Consider the following 22,582-nt stretch of genomic DNA (forward strand, 5'->3'; position numbering starts at 1 on the left):
AATTCATATTTTAGAGACTGTAGCATTGATTTATGACAATGATCAGGACTCAGAATTCAGAAACAGATCATATTGCAAAGCAGTAAAAATAGCAGTTTATCCACTTGTGTCAAGAACACATAATGAAGTTCTCTTTTTGGAAAAAAATAGTCTTTTTTGGCCAGAATAAATACATGCTTACATATATTTGACAATATAAACTTAAGAGCTACTTTATGCTGAGCATGTCGCTAGCTGTTAATGATACAATGATGAGCAAATCACAGAGAACTGCTGCCCTATGGACACTGCATTACAAAATTTTAAATAAATATTCATGGCTTTAAACAAAATATTAAAAAAAGAAAAAGGATACTTAAAAGTAAATTGGATGAAATAATAGTATGTCATTGAAGTATGACAAATTAGCATAAGGAGAAAAGGCAATTCCAACAAAGCCAAATAAAGTAGCACAGGAAAATATCATCATAGACTGTGAATAAATTGCCTTTATGTAAGTCATTAAATTGTTTTCAGTGAAGGAATCTAAAATGGATTGATATGAATTATAAGTTATTTGGGATGTTTATGAATTTCCAATAAGTTATTTACCAGAGGCAATTCTTAAATATAGAAGTATAAGAGATAGAAACACAGAAATATAAAGAGATATTATAGAAACTCTGACAGAGAGATTAAGATATAGAGAAAGCAATCAGAATATACAGTATAGTAATTTCTGCAGAAAGAACAAATGAAGAGACAAAAACGAACTATTATTATTCATAGAAGATAAACATTAATTATAAATTCAGAAAGCAGCAAAAATATCTATCAGAACGAATAAAAATACACCCATATATAAACTAATTTAAAAAATGAGTGAAAACCAAATTACCCGTAAGAATAATAAAATTGGAAACATTACAAAGACTTCTCATCTTGCAAGATAAGATGTGGTAAGTGTATGTAAATAATTTGACAAGGAAAGGAAAAATTCATTGAAAAACAAAACTATTACAAAACTGATGCTATGAAAAACCGAATAGTTTTATATCTAAGGAATGGAACTTGGAACTTAAAACCTTTACACAAATAAAATGACTGGCTTGGATGGCATTACTGGTGAATTTTAATAAACACTCATGGAAGAAATAACAGTTCATCAATTTTACATGAACCATTTTAAAGAGTAGAAGAAAAAGGAACACTTTCAACATAGTTTTAGGAAACCAGCATAATACTGATACCACACGCCACTCTTGACATTGTAAGAAAATAATAGTTCAACATCCAAAGTTAACACAGTAGCAAATATCCTAAACCAAATATTAGAAATTTAAATCTAGCAATATATAAAAAGAATAATAAATTATGGTCAAATGAGATTTATACAAGGAACGCAAGAAGGATTTACTACTTGGAAATAAATCAATATAATTAATAATATTAACAGAGTGAAGGAGAAAAACATAATCATTTAAATGAATGTTCAGACAGCATTGAATAAAATTGAATTCCTTTTCATAATAAAACATCTCAGCAAACAACAGTGGAAGTAAACTCAATCTAATAAGGAGGATTTATGGGAAACCTACAGTTAATGCCATTCTTTTTTTTCTTTTTTTTTTTTTGAGACAGAGTCTCGCTCTTTTGCCCAGGCTGGAGTGCAGTGGCGCGATCTCAGCTCACTGCAAGCTCCGCCTCCCGGGTTCACGCCATTCTCCTGCCTCAGCCTCCCGAGTAGCTGGAACTACAGGCACCCGTCACCTCCCCTGGCTAATATTTTGTATTTTTTTTAGTAGAGACGGGGTTTCCCCATGTTAGCCAGGATGGTCTCGTCTCCTGACCTCGTGATCCACCCGCCACGGCCTCCCAAAGTGCCGGGATTACAGGCGTGAGCCCCCGCGCCCGGCCAAATGCCATTCTTAATTGTGAAATGCTGTGCGCTTTTCAACTGATGTCAAACAACAAAAAGACAAAGGTAGCCATTCTCCATTGTTATTTAGCATTGTACAGGAGTTCTGAACCAGTGCAATAAGGTAAGAGGGATTGGAAAGGAAAAAGTACAACTGTCTTAACAGTTTGCATTAACATATTCATAGAAAATACAAAAAATTGGAAAAGTACTAGAACTATTGAATTAAGTTATCAAGTTGAGAATATGTCAATATTGCAAAATTTATTGTTTGCCCATATATTAATTAGAAACAATTGGTAAATAAAATTTAAAATACAACATTTACACACACACACACACACACACACACTTCCAAGCTCTGTCTGCTGTGAAGCCTAGACGCAATGAAACCTCTGTAGCAATGAACACATCTGGTGATCAGATCTGGGTTTCTACTACCATTCTCCAATTAAAAGAAAAAGAATTCTTGCAGAAATGACTGATCTATGGTTGGGGTGGGAAAAATACAAGATGAGTCTGGAACATCTTATATTTACAGAACACAAATGCTCAAAAACCAAAGTGGTAGGAATGTGTCAGAGACACAGAAGCTAAGGGAATAAACTCCCAGTGGCCAAACTGAACAATTTGAGCAGCAAATTAAATAACATAGCTTAGAATTTTAACTCAAAGCATAAAATAAATGTGCAAGAGTCTATATTGATATGAATAAATTATTGTATAAATAAAAAATGGGAAGGAATAAATCTCTATCAAAGAATCTCAAATAATATGCAGAAATGGTTCCCTCAGGTAGGTGGAACATAATCTCTTTATCCCCTTAAGTTGGGCTACATGCAGTGACTTACTTTCAAAGAGTGCTGATACAGTTTGGATATTTGCCCCTTCCAAATCTCGTGTTGAAATTTGATCCCCAGTGTTGCAGGTGGGGCCTGGTGGGAGATGTTTGGGTCACGGGGGTGGATCCCTCATGAATGGCTTTGTGCTGTCCCCATGGTAACCAATGAGTTGTCACTATATAAGTTCCCGCAAGAACTGCTTGTTAAAAAGAGTCTGGCACCTTTCCCTCTCTCTTTTCCTGTACTCTCGTCCTGTAATCTCCTCATGCTGGCTCCTGTTCCCTTCCTACTTCTGCCATGAGTGGAAGTAGATGCTGGTGCCATGCTTCTTGAACAGCCTACAGAACTATGGGCCAAAAAACTGTTTTCTTTATAAATTACCCAGCCTGAGGTATTCCTTTATAGCAATGCAAAACAGACTATGACAAGAACAGCACAGTGAAGGTTAAAAAAAGGAGTTACTTTACAATGGAAAAATCAGACAGATACCACCTCAGGGCTGTAATCAAGCTTAACATATTCAATAATAAGTCATATTGATAGTATATACTCTTGATAAAAAGTAATGAGAGTGGTACTTTACTTCTGTGGGCTTCCTTCCAAAAATCTCATAATCTAATCTATTCATAAGAAAAATATCTATGAACCCAATTGAGAGACATTCTACAAAATACCTGACTAATACTCAGGTTGAGGTTATAAAAATAATGTAAAAAATTTTCACAATCTAGAGGATCCTGTGGAAACATGGCAACTAAATATAATGTAGTATCCTGGATAGGATAACGGGACAGAAAAATAACATTAGTAAAAACTAAAGAAATCCAAAAAGCACAGACCTTAATTAATAATAATGCATCAATATTTGTTCACAAATGTTAACAAATATATCATCCTAACTAATGTAACATGGTAATAATAGAGGAAACTGGGCATGGGATCTAGGAAAATTCTCTGTACTGCCTTTGCAAATTTCTTGTAGACCTAAACTATTCTAAAATAAAAAGGTTATTTTTAAAATATAACATGTACAAGCATGCATCCATACTTAGGAATAAACTAAGAGATATGACAACCCCTGAAAAACATAGTTCTGAGTAACTGAGTAACTGAAGAAGGCAAATAAATTGATATACTATGTTCATGGATTAGAGCACTTAATACCTATTTTATGTTTGTTTTGTATTTAATGCTTTTCATATTCTTCAGAAAGTATGGTAGAGAGAACTTTGAATTTTGATAAAGGATATTTATAGCAAACTCAAGCAAACACCATATTTATTTTGGAAACATTAGAAATATTCTCTTTAAAGCCAGGAATAAACTCAATTTCATTTAACATTGCTTTTGTTGAAACATCAAGACAAGAAAAAGTGGCAGAGTGTGTAAGTACTGACAGGAAGAAATTAACATGTTACTATTCCTAGGTGGTGTAATTATATGAAGAAATTATAAAGCATGAGGACTAAAATGAGAGTATTTTGGGCAATGTAAAAAATAATCATGTTCTTATGTATTGACAATGAAGTGTTAAAAAATAACTAAAAGGTTATAATTTTAAAAGCCTATTTTAATAATGAAGTATAAATAATTAAATCTAAAAGATATGCAAGAATTTATGAGGCATATGCCTTTGTTAAATGATATTAATAATATTTAAATAAAGAGAGTGATGCATCGTATTCATGGACAGAAAGACTCAGTAGTTTGAGATGACAGTTTCCCCAGTGCTCATCTTTATATTCAACTCAAGTTTATTTTGTGGAATTTGACAAGATAATTCTAAACTTTATGAAAAGCCAATTCCCAAGAATACTAATTAATACTTTAAACAGAATTTTTAAACTGTGTGTTTGGTAAGTTGTCCTATTAAATATCAAGTCTAATATAAACTGTACTAAACAAGACAACGTGATATCAGTGCAGGCATAGACAAATAGATCATTAGCATAGAACTTGAAACCGACCCATTAAATTTCATTACAAATTATTGGAAGTAATTATTCAATTGTGAAATGAAAATAAATGCCTACCTTACAAATTACATGTACGTATACATATACAACTGTACAAAACTCCAAGGGGACTAAAACCTAAACAAGAAAGCAAAACTCTTTTATCAGATAGTATAAGAAAATATCTTTATGCACTTGGGTGAGAGAAGAATTTCTTATGGCAAAGAAGCATAGAGTATTAAGCAAACAAGGTTAAATTTTGTGAATTAAAATTATTTATACATCAAAAAGAATGCCTTGAAGAGTAGAATAAATGTTTAAAATGCATATAGCTGACAAAGTATTCATCTTCAGAATATTGTGTGTGTATGTGTTAATTGTGTGTGTATAATAAAAACAAGCAACCTTAAATGGAGAAAATATATTAAGAAGCATTTTGCATAAAGAACATCTGAATCATTTATTAAAATGCTTAACCTCACTGTTTATCAAGGAAGTACATGATAAGCAGGAATTAAGTCCAACTTTACAACCATTATGTAAGTTAAAAAATTAGAAGTGGGTAAATACTAAGTGTTGGAGAACATGTAAAACAATAGGAAATCTCATAAAATTGCTAATAGGTGCTTCAAACAGAATGACCACATTGGAGAGCAATTTAGTAATTTGAATGGGGAGCAATTTAGTAATTTCCAAGTAATTACCAAGTTATCTCACTCCTAGGAATATACCCTGTAGAATAGCTTGCATATATATACTATATTAGAAGGTAATACACAATGATTTTTTTTTTTTGAGAGGGAGTCTGGCTCTGTAGCCTAGGCTGGAGTGCAGTGGCACCATTTCAGCTGGCTGCAAACTCCGCCTCCTGGGTTCAAGCAATTCTCCTGCCTCAGCCTCCCGAGTAGCCGGAATTACCGGCTCCTGCCACCCTGCCGGCTAATTCTTGTTTTTTTAGTAGAGATGGGGTTTCACCATGTTGGCCAGGCTGGTCTTGAACTCCTGACCTCAGGTGATCCGCCCTATGCAATGATTTTCAATGCAGAGATGATCTGTAGTATTGAAAACATTAGAAACAACCTACATGTCTAGCAAAGTAGAATGGATAAATATATTATGAAATACTGAAATGAAAATGAAAAAAACCTTGTCTACATATACAAGCATGGAGTATCTCAAAAAAAACATAAATTTATACCTGAAAAATGAAGCCAAACTAAGCTACATGTGTATACTTCAATATGGTCATTTTGATTATATTTTCATACATACAGAATGAACATTTATATCTTAATATCAAACTCAGGAATAAAGCTTACCTTAAGAAAGGAAGTTTCATGTATTTGTACTGTTTAATTTCTTAAGATGGTGATAGTTTTTTTTAGTGTTACTTATAATCCATGCATCTTGGTATGCCTGTAACTTTTTTTTAATAAAAAATACTTCAAAAAGAATGTCTAGTAGTTTAAAGATTCCCTTAACATATATATAGATATATGGAGAGATAGATAGATAATATCATTTTTTATGCTGTATTGGCTTAGGTATCTCTCGAGAATCTAACGACTCAATAATTTAAAGTAGCATTTATATATAAGTGCTTACTGTTGCAAGTAAAATGTGAGCCTATCATTTGTATGAAAATTGAAAAACTGTAGGTTTGGACACTTCTGTGAGATCACACTGGACCCTCAGATCCTTCCTTCCAATGTGCCATGCATCTATGTACACCGACACCTGAAAAACTATTAACCCAAAATGTCTCATCTTTTTTGTTCTCATTTTATAAAAATGGTTTATTTTATGGGCACTGGTGAAAAGTAATGGTTCAATGTATAAATATTGATTTAAATCACATAGCAGCACAATTCTCTAACTTTCTAACATATGTGTAACAAGATGGAGAGTCATCTGTTTTTTGAAGATAGATAAAACCAATATGTTCATTTAAAAATACTGTACTACTGTATATACATGCCCAAACTACTATGGAGACTGTGAGGGGTAGGATTTAAAAGGGGTATAAGCAGGCTCTGGGATGCTACTTTTGACTTGAGTGTGGTTACATGAATGTGTGCACTTTGTATTAATTCACTGTACTTCACTCCTATAATTTGTGCACTTTTTTGCATATGTATTGAATAAAAAGTTAGGAAAAGGAGGCTCATTATTTTATCTTTATAATGGAAAAAAGTTTATGATTCAGTAATAAGTAAAGAAGTGATTTGTCAGAATAAAATGATTACATCATCCTTTGTGCTTAGCAAAATGTTTGGTTCATTATATGCTCCCACAAAAAGATTCACTGAATGAATGAATGCATAAACCATGTAAAAAATATGTGCAGTCAAAACATTTAGAAGTAAATATAAATGTAGCTAACTGCTAATAGTGCTGGGTTTGTGTGGGGGCGTTATGGGTGGTTGTTTTCTCTCTTTTTCAAATTTTAAAATAAATAATGGACTTTTAATGTCATCGTGGGTGTAGCCAGTCCCATAAGGTGCTTCTATGATGGAAATTTCTTTCTTGCTTCTGTCATAGTTATGCTTCATAGTGTGTGTATATATATACATATTTCTATTTTGGAGTTTTTCTTAAAAGTTTGACAGTTAGCTGAGAACATCTGGACCACCTATAGCCAGCCCCCATCCCCAGATCAGATCAAATGGAATTCCCTTTTACCTATATCATGGAAGCTGCTTATCATCTCAGTGATTTTTTTCTTCAAGATTATTCATTTTTGGTTCTTATAACTAGGTATTTTAAGTACTGGAAGGCATAGGGTTAGAGAAATCACATATTAATGCTGTAGACATTCATAGTCCTGCAGACTTTTTCTGATGAAAAATAAAAGCTTTCATTTAAAGCTTTTTGTCTAACTTCTAACGTTCTCACCTGTGATCACCAAATAGATATGCTCTGCCTGACACACTTGGCGTGTTAAATTTTAAATTTGTGAAGGTTTTTGTTTACTTTTAAATAATCTTTTGAATTAAGATATAACAGCCATTCATAACATACACAAGTCTGCAGTGTCCATTAAAAGATTCTGACATATGCATATACCTGTGTTACTACTACCCAGATCAAAAAATAGAACAATTTTGGTACCCAGAAGGCTCCGTGGTACCTCCTCACAATCAGTTACCAACCACCTCCCACCCCTGACCAAAGATAGTCTATCAGAATTCAGAAGTCTTTTATCATCAGAATTGATTTTTTCATGTTATTGAACTTCATACAAACGGAAGTAATTGGTACATGTTCTATTGTGTTTGTTTTCTTTAGCTCATAATTATGTTTATGAGAAATATCCATGTTGTTGCTATGTAATATTCCATTGTCTCAATTGTGAAAATTAATGATGTGACTTGGGGTTATTACAGTCATACCCAACTAGATGGGAGTTAAGGACCATGGGGAAAAAGCACTCAGGTCACAAAGCTCCTGCTCCAGGAACTGTCTGGCAAGCCAGGCTGCAGAAATAACTTGCTATATCTTAAAACCCATTTTACCTAGTAACTGCTTCCATGTAACTGCTACCTTCCATGCCTCAAAGATTAGTTTACCTTCCACCAAGATTAGTTTTACCTACCACCATCACTCAACAATTACAGCTTGCCAAAGCTGGAAGAACTTGTCTAGGCCAATGAACTTTCTTTCAAAACATTTTACAAAACTTTTCTCTTAACCAATAAAACCCCAATCTTTTCTTTTGTTCTGTGGACACCCTGAAGACCAGCCAGGTCTGTGTGTATGCACCAAATTACAATTTGGTTTTTGCGTATATTTCCAAAGAAAACCTTTCTTTGCATTTGCATTTCTTTGCATTGTTAGACCCAACTTAACAAATGCTTTCATCCTGGCACATAAGCCTTATCCACAACTCATCATAGGTTTGCAGGAGCACACTTCATATAAAAGCCACTTAATGTGGAGATCTTAAGCTTCCCCTCATTGAAATAATCACGTGCTTCTTTTATCATCACAGTTTAAAAGGCAGGACAGATGTGCCTCTCTCGCCAAGACCATGTTCCCAAACAGTAATGATGGTAAACTAGTTTTATTTTTAATTTAATATTTTTAAGAACGGGAATTTCCAGTAGTTGTTAAATCATTATCTGTTTAAGAAGAATGTGAACTTGAAATAATTGAGGTGGAACAAGTCCTTAAAGAATCTCATTATGACTCATATATGAGGGTAATAAGGAAGTTAAAATGCTCATAATATTTGTAGAAAAAAGTTTGGTGACTATGTGTAAAATAATGAAACTGTACTCAAGTGAGAATGGTTGGTACTACATGAAATTAATCAGATTAACAATATTGGGAAAGGAGTTTAACAGCTAAAAAGAGATTTGAGTTTATATTGTTAAACTGCACACGCATTTTTTTAAATTTGTGCAAGAAAAATATGAAAAATACATTGTTTGAATTAACTTAATTAACAAAAAGTGGCCTAAAAAGTAGACTAATAGAGAAATTTTCCCAAGGATTAAAGAATAACCTCAAATGGGAGAGCTGTATTTAAAAGTGAGACATACCAGTTATAGACTAGACCAGCAGAGGGAGCTCAATATATTTAGCCAGTAAAGACATTGAAGACAGTTAAGATTCTTGTTAAGCAGACACATATGGAAGAGGATAATTACGTAGTTTTATTTTAAATATGAATTCTCAGACATAAATATATTCATTAATGATTACAGATAATTTGAGATTCCATCCTCTCAATTTTAATTGACTGCCTTAGTTGAATTCAATTATTCGTATTATAAGAACAGAAGTCAGCCTGTGCGACAGACTCCGTCTCAAAAAAAAAAAGAACAGAAGTAAACTATATTCAGCGTAAGAAGTGTGAATAAGTTTAAAAAATACATTAACACATATATTAGCATTTTTACTGAATTAAAAAAATACAGCAATAGAATAATGAGATAAAGTTTTGTTGTAGAGTCGTGATAGTGGACCCTGTGAATAAAATACAACAACTTAACCAAGTGGGAGCAAAACATTTTATGATTCTTATGATAGAAATATACTAACAAGTTCTAATTTTCTTTGTGCCTATATAGATGAACATCAAAATCACAGCTATTTTAGCTGATACCATTAAAAATTAATAAATATTGAATCTGATCATTTTAATGGAAATGATATATGTTTAGAAATTTGGAAGAATAAAAAGAAAAATACCAAGGTGGACATGATTAGGTTTGTAATACTTAACTTCTGGGATATTTGAACAATGTTCATTGACACTGCTTGAGACTGTGAAGAAGTGAGTGATAGATGCTCAAAGTGATTTCAAAAGGAATACATAATGATGGAGTATGTAGGTAAGGAAAGGCTTGCATGCTGAAGGAGAGAAATAAAACTTATGGTGAGAGTGTGTTTGCAATATCCTGCAAGCTTTTGCAGAATGCTATTCTATAAAGTCTGGCTAAATTGTTAAGGTAAGAAATTTAACTGGTGTAGCCATCTTATAGATTGTGTTATAACAGTTTTAGTGGTAGACTGATGAATTATGTCATAAAAAAGGCACTTTCAGAAAACTGGCAATCTTTAAGTCTTAATGGGAAGGAAATCTGCCTATGCCCTCTCTTTTTTCCAAGTCCCTTCCCTCCCTACCCCATAAAGATGGGTAAGACTTTAAATCTTTCCAGCTATTGCTGTGGGAAGTATTTCATGGACGCAATCATGTAAAAGAAAAATATAGAGAAGTATATTTCCAGGTTTTTAGGATTACACATGTATAGAAACAAAATGAGAAAATTGCCAGGGCTGGAAATACAATTTGAGAAGCCTAAATAGAACAAAGCCAATAGTGATTCCTTCAACTGTGGATTTTATGGACTGAATATGTACAAATGTTGGGTATAAATCAGGGCCAATTTTTCCACAAGAATCTAGAATATATCAAAGTCTAAAACAGGATTATAGCCACTTTAGAGAAGAAATTGCACCAGAACCAGACTGTTTCTAACCAAATGACATACGTCTTCTCTGCGTTTACATTCATATACACACATTCATGTTAACTTAGATTGTATCATATTGAAGATAATTCTATATAATGCCTCCAAATTTAAATTCAGTTCTTTTCCACAAATGCTTATTGTAGTTAAGCTATACTAACTTTGAATAGAATCACAGAGATGCTGGTAAATGACTTATATTGCATACATGAGGGAAACAGCTTTTTTTTTTTAAATGATGCCTGTATAAAGCCTCTTCCTGTTGAGATAGATTCCAACACACACTCACACACACCTCTACACACACTTACACCCTCATATATGTAAAAATTTGCATATTAGATTGTTTTTCCTAGAAAATTTACTACCTATTTACTATTCTAAGTAAATAGAACATAATTCTCTAATATTGGTTTTTTAAACTAATAAATCCTTAAGTATTTTATATCATCTTTTAGTTAATATTAACTTTGAGAAGTATCACAAACCATACTTACTAAATTTACAAAGACAATTCTAGCTAATTTAAGAATCATCATCTATACAGTTTCAAAAAAAATAAAATTGGCTGCTAGACAATTTTATAGATGTTCAGTGGTTCATGTGTCTATTTCTGCATTTTATTACAGTTAAATTGCCCAATAAAAGCTAAAGGGCAAAGCAGAGATACCATGTGCTCTTTAGAAAAAGCTATAAAATTTAAGACAGAAGAAATTTGGTCTGTAATGACAATTTTTATGTTTTTCTGGCTTTAATAACTTGATTATATAAAATGTTTTCAAATACAGTTGATAAAATCTATAAGTATAATGTTTTGGCAAATACCATATTCATTTGAAAAAGTAATCGAATTGAATATTTAAAATAACATTATAAACAAATTTGTAAGTGGGGTACAGAGTAAACATGTAAGTATTTACTACTCTGCTTATGTCTGGATATTAAAGATTATTGGAAAAAAATAATTGCTATGGTGACATTTTAGCTTTTAATTTGAAGTTTAATATTAGATTGTTGAATGGAGAAAATCAATGTTGTTTTCACTTATATTTATATACTCTAATATACCATCTCTAACTGAAATGTTATTACCTGCAGGTGACTGTAATTTAATTATACTATTAATTTTACATTTTAAAATCTTGTTATACTAATTTGGGTTTTAAATTACATAAAATGTTGCCATTAATGTAATTACAGATTACTCTAGTGTGAAACTTGTTGCAAAGTAAAATGCCTACCATGGTCGTCTCTGCGATAGAGCCAAAGCTGTTGATGAATATGTTGCATGTGACATTAACTGGAGGGCCTGAAAAAGAGATGAAAACATAAGGGCTGTTTAGAGACTTATCTAAAACATTTTCAAATAATTCCTTGCATTCCATTATTATTATTCCATTTTACACACACACACACACACACACACACACACACAGATGCTTAAAATTGAAGCAATAATTCCACACAACAATATGTACTGAGAATCACAAGGTTCACAAGGAACACTGATGCTGATCATTTTTTTACCTCTCTTGGTCTTAGTTTTTAAAATCTAGATGTCTCTAATGGCTCTGTAATGCCTGATGCTGTAAGTCCAGTTTCTAAGCTCATTCAGGGATAGTTTCTATTGATCTTTTCCCCGCTGCATGGGCTATACTTTTCTATTTCTTTGCATGTCTTATATTTTTTTTTGTTGAAAATTGAATACTTTAGGTAACATAAAGTGGCAACTCTGGAAACCAGGCCTTCCCACCTCCAATCCAAAGTTTGTTGTTGCTGGTTTTTCTTGCAGTTGTTGTTTGTTCTTTAGTGACTTACCTGGACCAATATGGTAAAGTTTTCATTTCCCTAGAGTGCACAGCCAGTGAAATCTCCATTTAGTGAGCTTAGTGGTAAACTAATATTTGATTAGAGATTTCTTTAAAGCCTTGAGCCAATAAATCTTCCACTCTTGCCAAGGGTCTTCCATGGGTTTGGGGACATGTCTTCAGTGCTCAGGCAGTTTACAACTCTACCTTACCCTTCACTTCCTGCTTGCACAGAGCCTGATGTCCACCAGAAGTGAGATACTGGGACTCTCTGAGGACTTCCCTGGACAGGCACACAGCCCTATGTGCATATGTAAACTCCAGATTGCAAGGATATGTTAGAGCTTTTCAGAGCTGCCTAAGAACATAGAATTTTCCAGGTCCTTTATAATTTTTGTTCAGGCTCTTACTTGTCCCAACTAGTGTCACAGCCTTAGGCAGCTACAATGTTAAACAATCTTCTAATTATTTTCCACAAATGCCCTAGAGATAGAAATTTTTCCCACCAAGTGAGTTCTTAGTGAAGTCAAATAATGGAAAGCTCTTTGAGTGAGGCTCTTCCAGGGAGCTACCAGACAGGCAGAATACTGACAAAGCTCTGGGGATGGACCTTCTGAGGAATTCCAAACTTGGTCAGCCAGCTCTGGTGGTTTTACAACTTCTATTGTTTAGGGGTGGCTGGATTGCAAGGCTGCTGTGGAACTGGGAAGGTCGGTGAAATTAATATCCCTTCTGTTCTTACAGAAATTCATCAGTTTTTCTTGAATAAACACTCTTCAGGTTGTTGTAAGCTTTTTATCAATTTTAAAAGTTCTAACGGTTAATCTTGACAATTTTGCCAATGTTTTTGTTGCTTTTTTGGAGAAGTGAACTTATTGAGTTTCTCACTCCTCCATTCTGGAAATTTCTTATTAATGCCCGACTTAGTATTCATCATAAATCCAAGGATTTTTATTTTTATAAGGCCCATTTATTCATTCCTTTACTAAATATCCAAAGCCTTTGCACACAAAACTGAAGAAGACACAAAAAGATTATCATCTAGCAGAGAAGGAGGAGCAGAAATTGGTAAATTGTTGTAAGTTTCTTGCTGCCAGGCACTACCTTAGCTGATTCATAGATATTTAATCCATAGTAACTCTGAAAGAGGGAAATATTCCATCATTAACATTTTAGGGAATTAAAGCACAGTGACCCTACGTAAGATGCCAGTAGGTAGCACATTTAGAACGTGAACCATTGCTCTGATTCTAGAAATCATTCTTTTCCCACCACCTTGTTTATATGACCTTCAAAACATTTCATTATCTGGCCACAAACTTTGTTATTAGGCAGATACCTGTATAAATAGAAACGTAAAAATATTTTGTGCTAGGGGCTAAAATAGCTCTGAGTTACACTCTATGTAAGTTAGTCGGAGAACACCACATACAGAAACTAATATCTAAGACTAATTTCTTTGTTTTTTTTTAAACTGAGCGTAATTTTTGAGTAAATTGATCTTACAAGGTTTGCTACAAAAATGCCTAGTAGCCCCTTGACTTATTTCTGTTTCCCTCTTTTTCAGAGATAATTACTTCAATTCATTTAATCATCAATTCTTCGGATATTTACCTCAATTTCTCTACATAATATGTTTTTTCTTTTAGACACATCTTCTGATGCCCACAAAGAAGATAAAGATTTAGCCTTTTTTCATACATCATCCCTATCTCTACTAACATAAGCCTTTTTTCTGTCTTCCTGTTATCCAATATTTTTGTATGAAAAAAGGCTTGGTCTTTTTTGTTAGATCAATATTCACTTTTTACATTAATATGACAAGGTAGATATTTACCCCAGCCAAACAATAGAATATGTTATGCTTACTTTTTCCTTTCCTGCAGAACATTTTCCTGATATTGGCAATTGCTTCATATATAATATTTCACATAGCTTTCTCCACATGAATCGTTAACTTATCCACAAGCCCTGAAATGTCTAAGTTTTGATTCAATATGTACAGATCCATCAGGTTCTCTATGAACTTTACCTTCCTCTGGATTTACAGAGGAATGTAATGAGAATGTTTTGCTCTGGTTCAAAGCAATCGTTCTATGACCTCCCAATCATGCTAGGAATTACTTCCATAGCTTTCTGTTGTGGGATCCTCGTTCATGGTCCCATACTTCTTTCTTGGTTTATTTCTTCATTTTAGTGGAACATATGCTCCAGTAATGTTTTGACAAATGCTGCATAAGGCTATGAAGCTTTTGAGAGAGTCCTTGTTCATCAATGTCTGTTTTTTTGCATTCACACTTAATGTATAGCTAGAGTTGGTAGAAACTTTTAGGCTGGAAATGTTTTCTTCTTATGAATTTTGAAGATACTTTTTCACTATTTTCTATTTTTCAGCATTGCCATTGAAAAGCCCAAAGCCATTTTGTAGATGACCTGTTTTTCTTTCTGAAAATAAATAGGATGTTTCATTTGTTCCAATATTTTTTAAAAACTATTTCATTAGTTAGAATGGTCTAAAATATCATTTGAAGTTGCAATTTACATTTATTTGATTACTGGTTCATGATTTTCATCTTAATTTGCTTTTCAACCTATTCTCTAGATGGCTATTTATCTTGCTGAATTAAGGTAGAGGAAAAATCAATAAAATTATTTAAAAATAAAGTTTAGGTTTCAAAGGCCTTTAAATCCTATACTACACATTGAAATCACCTGGCAATCTTTACAAACCATAGATGCTTAATTCTCACCTATGTTACTTGGTATGGCATGCAACCAAGGCATCAGTATTTTTAAAAGCTTCCTAGGTCATTATAATGTGCAAGAATGCTTGGAAACCACTATCCTAAGGAATTACAGACTAGAAAATATCTGGGGCCATTATACTACAGGGTTATCAGAGATTTTCTTAGAAATAGAAAAATACAGAGAGAGGAGTCAGGGCTTGGGAGCATTGAAAATTCCAGGCTATTAATTTCATTAAAAGCGTTGCCTATTATAAATTCGGTGAACACTGTTAATAAAACAGAGTAGATGCTATGTACTTTGAAAGGGCCTAAAGTTTACTAAACATAGGAATGTCTAGAACACATAATTCAAACATGTATAGAAGTTAAATTGTTTTAAATATGAAGGATGAACATGTAATAATAAGAACCTTATAAAAGACCTGCATCCTAGGGGCGCTGTATTTAGTTACTAATGAACATTTTAAAATATCTTCATTGCTTATTTCTGAACATTTACAAATTTCTAAAATTTGTAAGATGAGAGCAGTGTGTTATGTGCCACTATGTGGGAGAGGAGTAAACTTAGTTTACTCCATGATTAAAACAAAATTCCATATATACACCATGGAATACTATGCAGCCATAAAAAATGAAAGAGTTCATGTCCTTTGTAGGGACATGGATGAAACTGGAAACCATCATTCTCAGCAAACTATCGCAAGGACAAAAAACCAAAAACCACATGTTCTCACTCATAGGTGGGAACTGAACAATGAGAACACATGGACACAGGAAAGAGAACATTACACTCTGGGAACTGTTGTGGGGTGGGGGGAGGGGGGATGGATAGCATTAGGAGATATACCTAATGCTAAATGACGAGTTAATGGGTGCAGCACACCAACATGGCACATGTATACATATGTAACAAACCTGCACATTGTGCACATGTAACTTAAAACTTAAAGTATAATAATGATAAAATAAAAAAATAAATAAATGAAATTTCCGTCCTAAAAAAGGATGAGGTTACAACTGTCAGAAGATAATTTTTTCTTAATGTGAGTCTAATATGAACTCTGAAAAGTATCTGTAGGCTGACTGGCATCCTTGAAAAGCTAAAACCAATCTTTCATATTTTCTAGGTTATTCTCTTTTTCCACCAGATAATACTAGACTCCTACTATTTTCTTTTTTTTTTTCTTGGAATAGCAATATGAATCTGAGAAACATTATTTGGCTTGAGATAAATTCTGTCATGCTCTATTGACTCATATCCTCTGGAAAAAGGAAAACATAAGAACATCAGTATTGGGTTAATTCACCTGTAAATAAAATGCTGATGGGGTACAGCCATGTTGGGGGAACATGGCCCAGGAGGAAGCTACTATTAGACCACTGCTAGCTGCACCTGATTGGGATCTTTTTGGCTGAAACGGAAATAAATAAAAGAGTGGGGAGATAATTTTTCTTATTTTAGTTTAGAAAGGGAAGGGGTCTTTATTTCTTGGATTTTAGTTTGTCACAGGCATTGAATAAAGGATGAGGCATTCTCTATAATACATTTTGTCTCGTCTTTTAAATTTAATTAGTTTCTATATATTTATGGACAATTGTGGTGAAAGAGGCAAAATGGAGGCAAAAATTCAGCATAGGCTTCAAGGTTCTGAAGTTAGTGAAATCTGTGCTGGCACATTTCAGTGTCCCTTGGGAGCAAGTGTTATGTGGCACATCCTAATGAGTCCATTAAGGTTCTGAAAGGAGCAGTGTTAGGTACCGTCTTTGGAGGAGCAAACTTCTGATATATTTGTTTTCTTTCTAAAATATGGTGCTGACATCCCTGGTTGACCAGAGGCTCAAATAGTAAGGCCGATGGATGAAATACAGAAAATAACATCATTTCCACAGAAGAATAATGGTCAAAGAATTGACTAATTTAGGCTTTCACTAATAGGTGGGATCATAATGCCTCATTGTATTTGAAACAGACTTCAGCCTCAGCCTCCATAACATTCCTCCAATAAGAAGCAGAAAGCTCTTCCTAAAGGTGAAAAGTTGCCTGGCTTCAAAACCTAAATTTCACGTGCAAGTAAAGTAACTCACAATGGTCTCAGGCCTAAACTTTATTCTCCACCTGGTTATAACATGTTCCTTGATTGGATGTTAGAACATAAAAAAGTGTGATTTGGTTCCCATTTGACTATTTACTTGTGTATATATTTTCTTCTTCAGCAGAAAGAAGGGTGAATGAATTTGGACATCAAATCCTAATTCCAAATTTCAAAACTATGGTAGACACTTACTTGAAAGGCAGATAGATAGACACATATGCATAAATAAGAATAACTTAAAATTTTAAAATATTCAAATAAAAAACAGTTTGGAAATAAAAATCATTTCAGATCATAGAGTCTCCTCAATGTAATAACAAGGTATTTGGGATTTACTTTAGGAAAGCTTTGGAGCCATAACAGATTCTTAACCTTGGAAGTGTAGGAACTAACATGACTCGTGAATGTTTGCATGAACAGGCAAAAGCATAGAGACAGAAAAAACAGAAATTTATGATAATAGTCTGGGATGGGGACAGAATGGACCTGACCCCGAAGGACAATGACAGTCCTTGGAGATAGATTACAAAGAATGAAATGGATACAGCATCATAATATTTTAAAGGTATCACGTTCTACCCCTTCGGTTTCTGGTGCACATGAGATTAGTGCAGCAATCTTGGAGTAGTCTTTCTATCCTAGCTTTGAAATAGACATTCAAAAATTGTGTAGAGAACGAAGCTCAGAGAAGATTATGAATCTTCTATTGCCATTACAGAGAGCACCTGTTTAGTAGCTCTTGGCCAATCTGCTACTTCTCTGTGCCAATGCAAAAGCTGTTATATCTATCCAATACACTCCTATGTTAAGCAACAGAGCAAATAACTGCTATAGCATCCATATGGCAAATTGTGCTTTTAAATTGTTCACGACTTTAGGCATAGTCCTTAAAAGCAAATGACAGTAGTTGCAGATGTTTTCAGCAGTAAGTTTTCGTTTAGATGTTTTTTTTTTTTAAAGAAATAGAAGATGGCCCTTAAGTTTAAGAAATGAAGTGATGGCAGAATAGCAAAGTACAATGCAAAATCTTGGCAACGATATTATTGTTATTCATATTGGGGAAAAATTGTTCACTAGGCAGACCTAGAGCAAGTAAGAAAACAAACAAACAACTCATATGTTCATAAAAATGACTAAGGAAGTTTTCAGGGAGTGTTGTATTAAAGTTTTATCTTTTTAAAGACACAGAATGCAACTAAAAGATTAAATTTCAAAATAATTCCAACTAGAGACTTGTTTTATTTTAGATAAATGCACACACATGTCACAAGGAGAGACGTTATTTTATTTTTTATTCACAAAGCATATTTGATGACTTAAAATCCAGATTTTAAATTATCTGTTAGGTGCTTTAAAAAGGTTTGTAAATTATGGCATAGAAGCAGAATCCTGTTTGTTCTTCCCCTTTCTCTTTCCCTTCCCTTCTCTTCCCTTCCCCCAAATGCTGCACTAAAGTCATTTGTTTGGGCAGTGCAAAATAGGCTTAAGTGCTGGGATGGCTGAGGGGGTCGTAGTAACCTAAGGCAGGAGAGAAGGACATTGTGGAAAAGCTCCACATGCAGGAAATGTTGGAGGTCCGGTGAGAGAGGAAAATGTACACCCACAATAGGGAAGCCTGTTGTTGGGTGTTAGAACCATAGATGGGCAAGGTGTGTGTCTCCATGGGGCCATCCTGGCTTGCAGAGTTGGAGTCTGAACAGGCATCTACACAAGGAGATGAACCTGAGGAAGGCTTCAGAGTCCCACCAGGCCAAGGAAGGTACTTGTGTAAAAGAAGAAGTAGCAGCAAACAAGGGAGATTCATTACATATTGATTAAATAAGTAATTATATTGAGGATAATGGGAGCCTGGTTTCTTGCTGTTGGAAGAGGAAGTTAAAATATGGAAACTTAGAAACTAGACTAAACATATGGTATTGACAGTGTGAATTCATGGTTTTCAATAGATACAGAAGTATAGAAGAAAATCGATGTGTAAATGTATGTGTGTGTGTATGTGTGTGTGTGTGTATGTGTGTGTGTGCATGCATATGTGTGTGTTTATTTATGCTTATATGTGTGGGTATATATAGATATATCCTGGCAGGCACCAACTTAATCAGGTAATCATAACCTGTAATGGCAAAATCTGACATGGTCCACCATCAAATAGAATGCAGTCAAAACACATCATCATTCCTGTAATATCCCTGCTAAATGCACTACCTAATTTGAATCATGAGGAAGAATCAGACAAATGCAAAGTGAAGTATATTCTTCTAAATAACTGAATAAGAATATTTTTAAATGTCAACATCATGACAGTCACAGAAAGAATAAAGTGCTGGTTCAGACTGAAAAAGACAATGAGAAATGACAAATAAAATATGATGTGATTCTAAACTGAATACTTTTATAATAAATTATCAGAGAGTGGATGAAATTTGAATAAAGATCAGCAAATTAGAAGGTAGCAATCTATTCAACTACTTTTCTTGTTATAATGGTTAGATTGTGATTATCAAGGAGAATGTTTTTATTTGTAGTAAATACTCAAGTATTGGGGCATCAGGTCAACAACTTACATTGAAGTGGTTCAGAAAAAAAGCTTTTGCACTTGTAACACTTCTGTTAGTTTGAGATTATTGTAAAATACAAAAAAGAGAAATAATTACTACAGAAATAATTAATTAAAAACAAAAAGCAAATACAAACAAAAAATACAGGGTTTAGAATCTAACCCCATCAACATTTCAAATGAACATGTATAGTTTTAGAAGAGCTTATTATTCAAGAGATACTTCTTGTTAAAGTGACCTCGTACTAAGTAAAAATGCAAACAGAAATGTACCATTTTCAAAAATAATTGTAAATGTTATTCAAGAACAATAGTGTCTTGGTGGATAGGAATAGTAAAAATGGGTAAAGGAGACCTTTAAAATGCTAACATTTACCCTAATAAAAATGCATGTAGAAAATGAGTTTGGGTACACATGCCACCCTTGGCATGGATGTTGTTGTAGAATAGAGTACTAGAAAGAGTCAATTTGTGATGAAGGGAGAAAAGGATTAGTGAAATATTTAAGGGTAAAAGACAGAAACCACAAATACATCGTGAGGGCAAACAAAAGTTATATCTACATACAAAGAGAGTGGCCATTGGAGATAACATAAGAAAACAAAAATGCAATAAATACTTGGGAGGAAGACAGAATTGGGTGATTACTGAAGGAATACTTTCTGAAGTTGCACTTATGAGTCATAAGAGGGACCCCAAGATTAGGATCAAAAGAAAGAAGTAAAATCCAGCAGTGGTGGGTAAAATATTCTAGTGAAATAATGTTTTGTTGTCTTATAAACATACTTTTACTTGCAATTCAATTGTTTTATGTTAAACATGCTTCTAGTTTCAGATGACACCTTGAAGCTTCTATTTCAAGACAGAGAATTGAACGTCATTTTCTTTCTTTCTGAAGACATAAAAATGACATTACATAATAAAATTTTAGTGAGAATAAATGTATCATACCAAAAATAATGGAAAAAAAATAATAATTAGTTTAATGACATAAAATATAGAGCCAGATAAAAATGGTTGACAAATGAAACAGAGGTAAGCCTAAAATAAAAGCAAGCAGGGACTGCATGGAGAGGGGAAGGAGGTGGAGAGTGAGAAGGGGACCCCAGGGATAGGGCCTGGCATCTGTCTTGAGAGCTTTCTGCTTCCCCTCTGTATTTCTGTTGAGCAACGGTTGCCTGGTATTTAGCCCTATGGAATTTTTGAGGAAATGGAAATAACTTCTTTGATGATTAGGGCAAACACAGTACCTGAAAATACCTCAAACCTTAAGCCTGCTCTATTTCACCATCTGCAGGACCCAAGAATAATGCCTAGTCGAAGCTCAACACTCACCTAAAGCAAAGCTCTGGCCAGGGCAATGCAGCCTGTGTCAGAGTTCCCTTTCGAAGTAGAGAAATAACAGAAAAATGGCCCTCCTATAGCACCCAAGCTAATCACCCCTCAATTCTTCCTGAATCACAGACATTCTATCACACATAAGAAAACTAGTGGTTTAAAGAGAATGAACAATATAAATAAACATAATTTATCCTGCAGGAAGAAGCAACAAATCATTGGGCAGAGAAGAAAAACAAAAGGGGCAGAATGCAATAAAAGACGCATTAAATTAGCAGTCTACTTAGTGCAAAGGAATCTCGTAATGCCTGTGTTGTGAAAGGCCTAGAAAGCAATCAAACAAATTAGAACAGACAATCAACAGAAATAACCAATTTTTTTGGAGTGTTTGCCTCAAAGAAGTAGAACTGTGCATCGTTAGTGTTGAGGGTGAACCGCTGCTTTTCATCATTGACACTTGTAGACATTTTTTTAGCAGCTTCAGGGACATGATTGTTACTATTGTCATAAATAAAACTGACAAGCAAATAAACATACAAAATAGCACCTGCGTAGCAGCTTGTAACACAACGTCCACAACTTCGCATTCAAGGAAAATGGTTTAAGATAAAGAGGATTGTGAAGAGACCAAAACACAATTACAGAGTTAAAATCTCCCTAAACATTCACAAATTGGATAAATGGCACCATGTAACTGAGGACAAATCTGAACAATTCTGTTTATAATGTAGAGGGAAAGGAGAAAGGAGAGAAGGGGATGAGGGCAATGTGTTAGACACAGATGACTGGGGAAGATAGCAGATTTTTTAAAAATAAAGAATATTGTTTTACAGAAATGACACAAAACAGTGCCAGCATAAGCAAAAATCCTCCTACTGAAAAATGTCCAGAGATAGGCAGAAAAAAATAGCCTATATATAAAGGAGCAGAAATCAAAATGAGATTTGACTTCTTTATGATATTAAATGTCAGTAGGCAATGAATCAACATCTGCAAACTTCTGAGCTAGAATTCTGGAGCTCGATAATTGTATAAAGTTTCTTTAATGTCAAATGCATACAAAACAGATTATCCTGGAATATTATTCAATGATGAAAAGAAATGAGCTATCAAGCCACGAAAAGACACAGAGGAACCTGAAAAGCATATTGCTACCTGAAAGAAGCCAATTTGAAAAAGTCTACATACTCTATGATTCTAATTATATGACATCCTGGAAAAGGCAAAACTCTAGAGACAGTGAAAAGATCATTGATTGCCAGAGACTGGGGGTAGATGAGGGGAAGTGGGAGAGAGATATACTCATACCACAAGCACAGGAGATTTTAGGGCAGTGAAATTATTCTGTATGATACAGTAATGACAAA

At 33.9% G+C, this 22,582-nt stretch overlaps 1 protein-coding gene across 8 annotated transcripts in view; it reads right to left on the reverse strand.

Annotated features, from left to right (window-relative positions):
- Positions 1-22,582, reverse strand: part of GLRA3 (glycine receptor alpha 3) — a 192,328-nt gene that overhangs the window by 118,130 nt on the left and 51,616 nt on the right. For all 8 annotated transcript variants that reach the window (XR_001741329.2, XM_047416196.1, XM_047416195.1 and 5 more), the window contains one exon: positions 11,914-11,981. Coding sequence is in view for 7 of the 8 variants with exons in the window: in XM_047416196.1 (XP_047272152.1) it covers positions 11,914-11,981 (68 nt within the window). In the remaining variant the exon portion in view is untranslated. The remainder of the gene's footprint in view (positions 1-11,913; positions 11,982-22,582) is intronic.

Source organism: Homo sapiens, chromosome 4 (genome assembly GCF_000001405.40).
Source record: "Homo sapiens chromosome 4, GRCh38.p14 Primary Assembly".
In the NCBI taxonomy this organism is placed as follows: domain Eukaryota; kingdom Metazoa; phylum Chordata; class Mammalia; order Primates; family Hominidae; genus Homo; species Homo sapiens.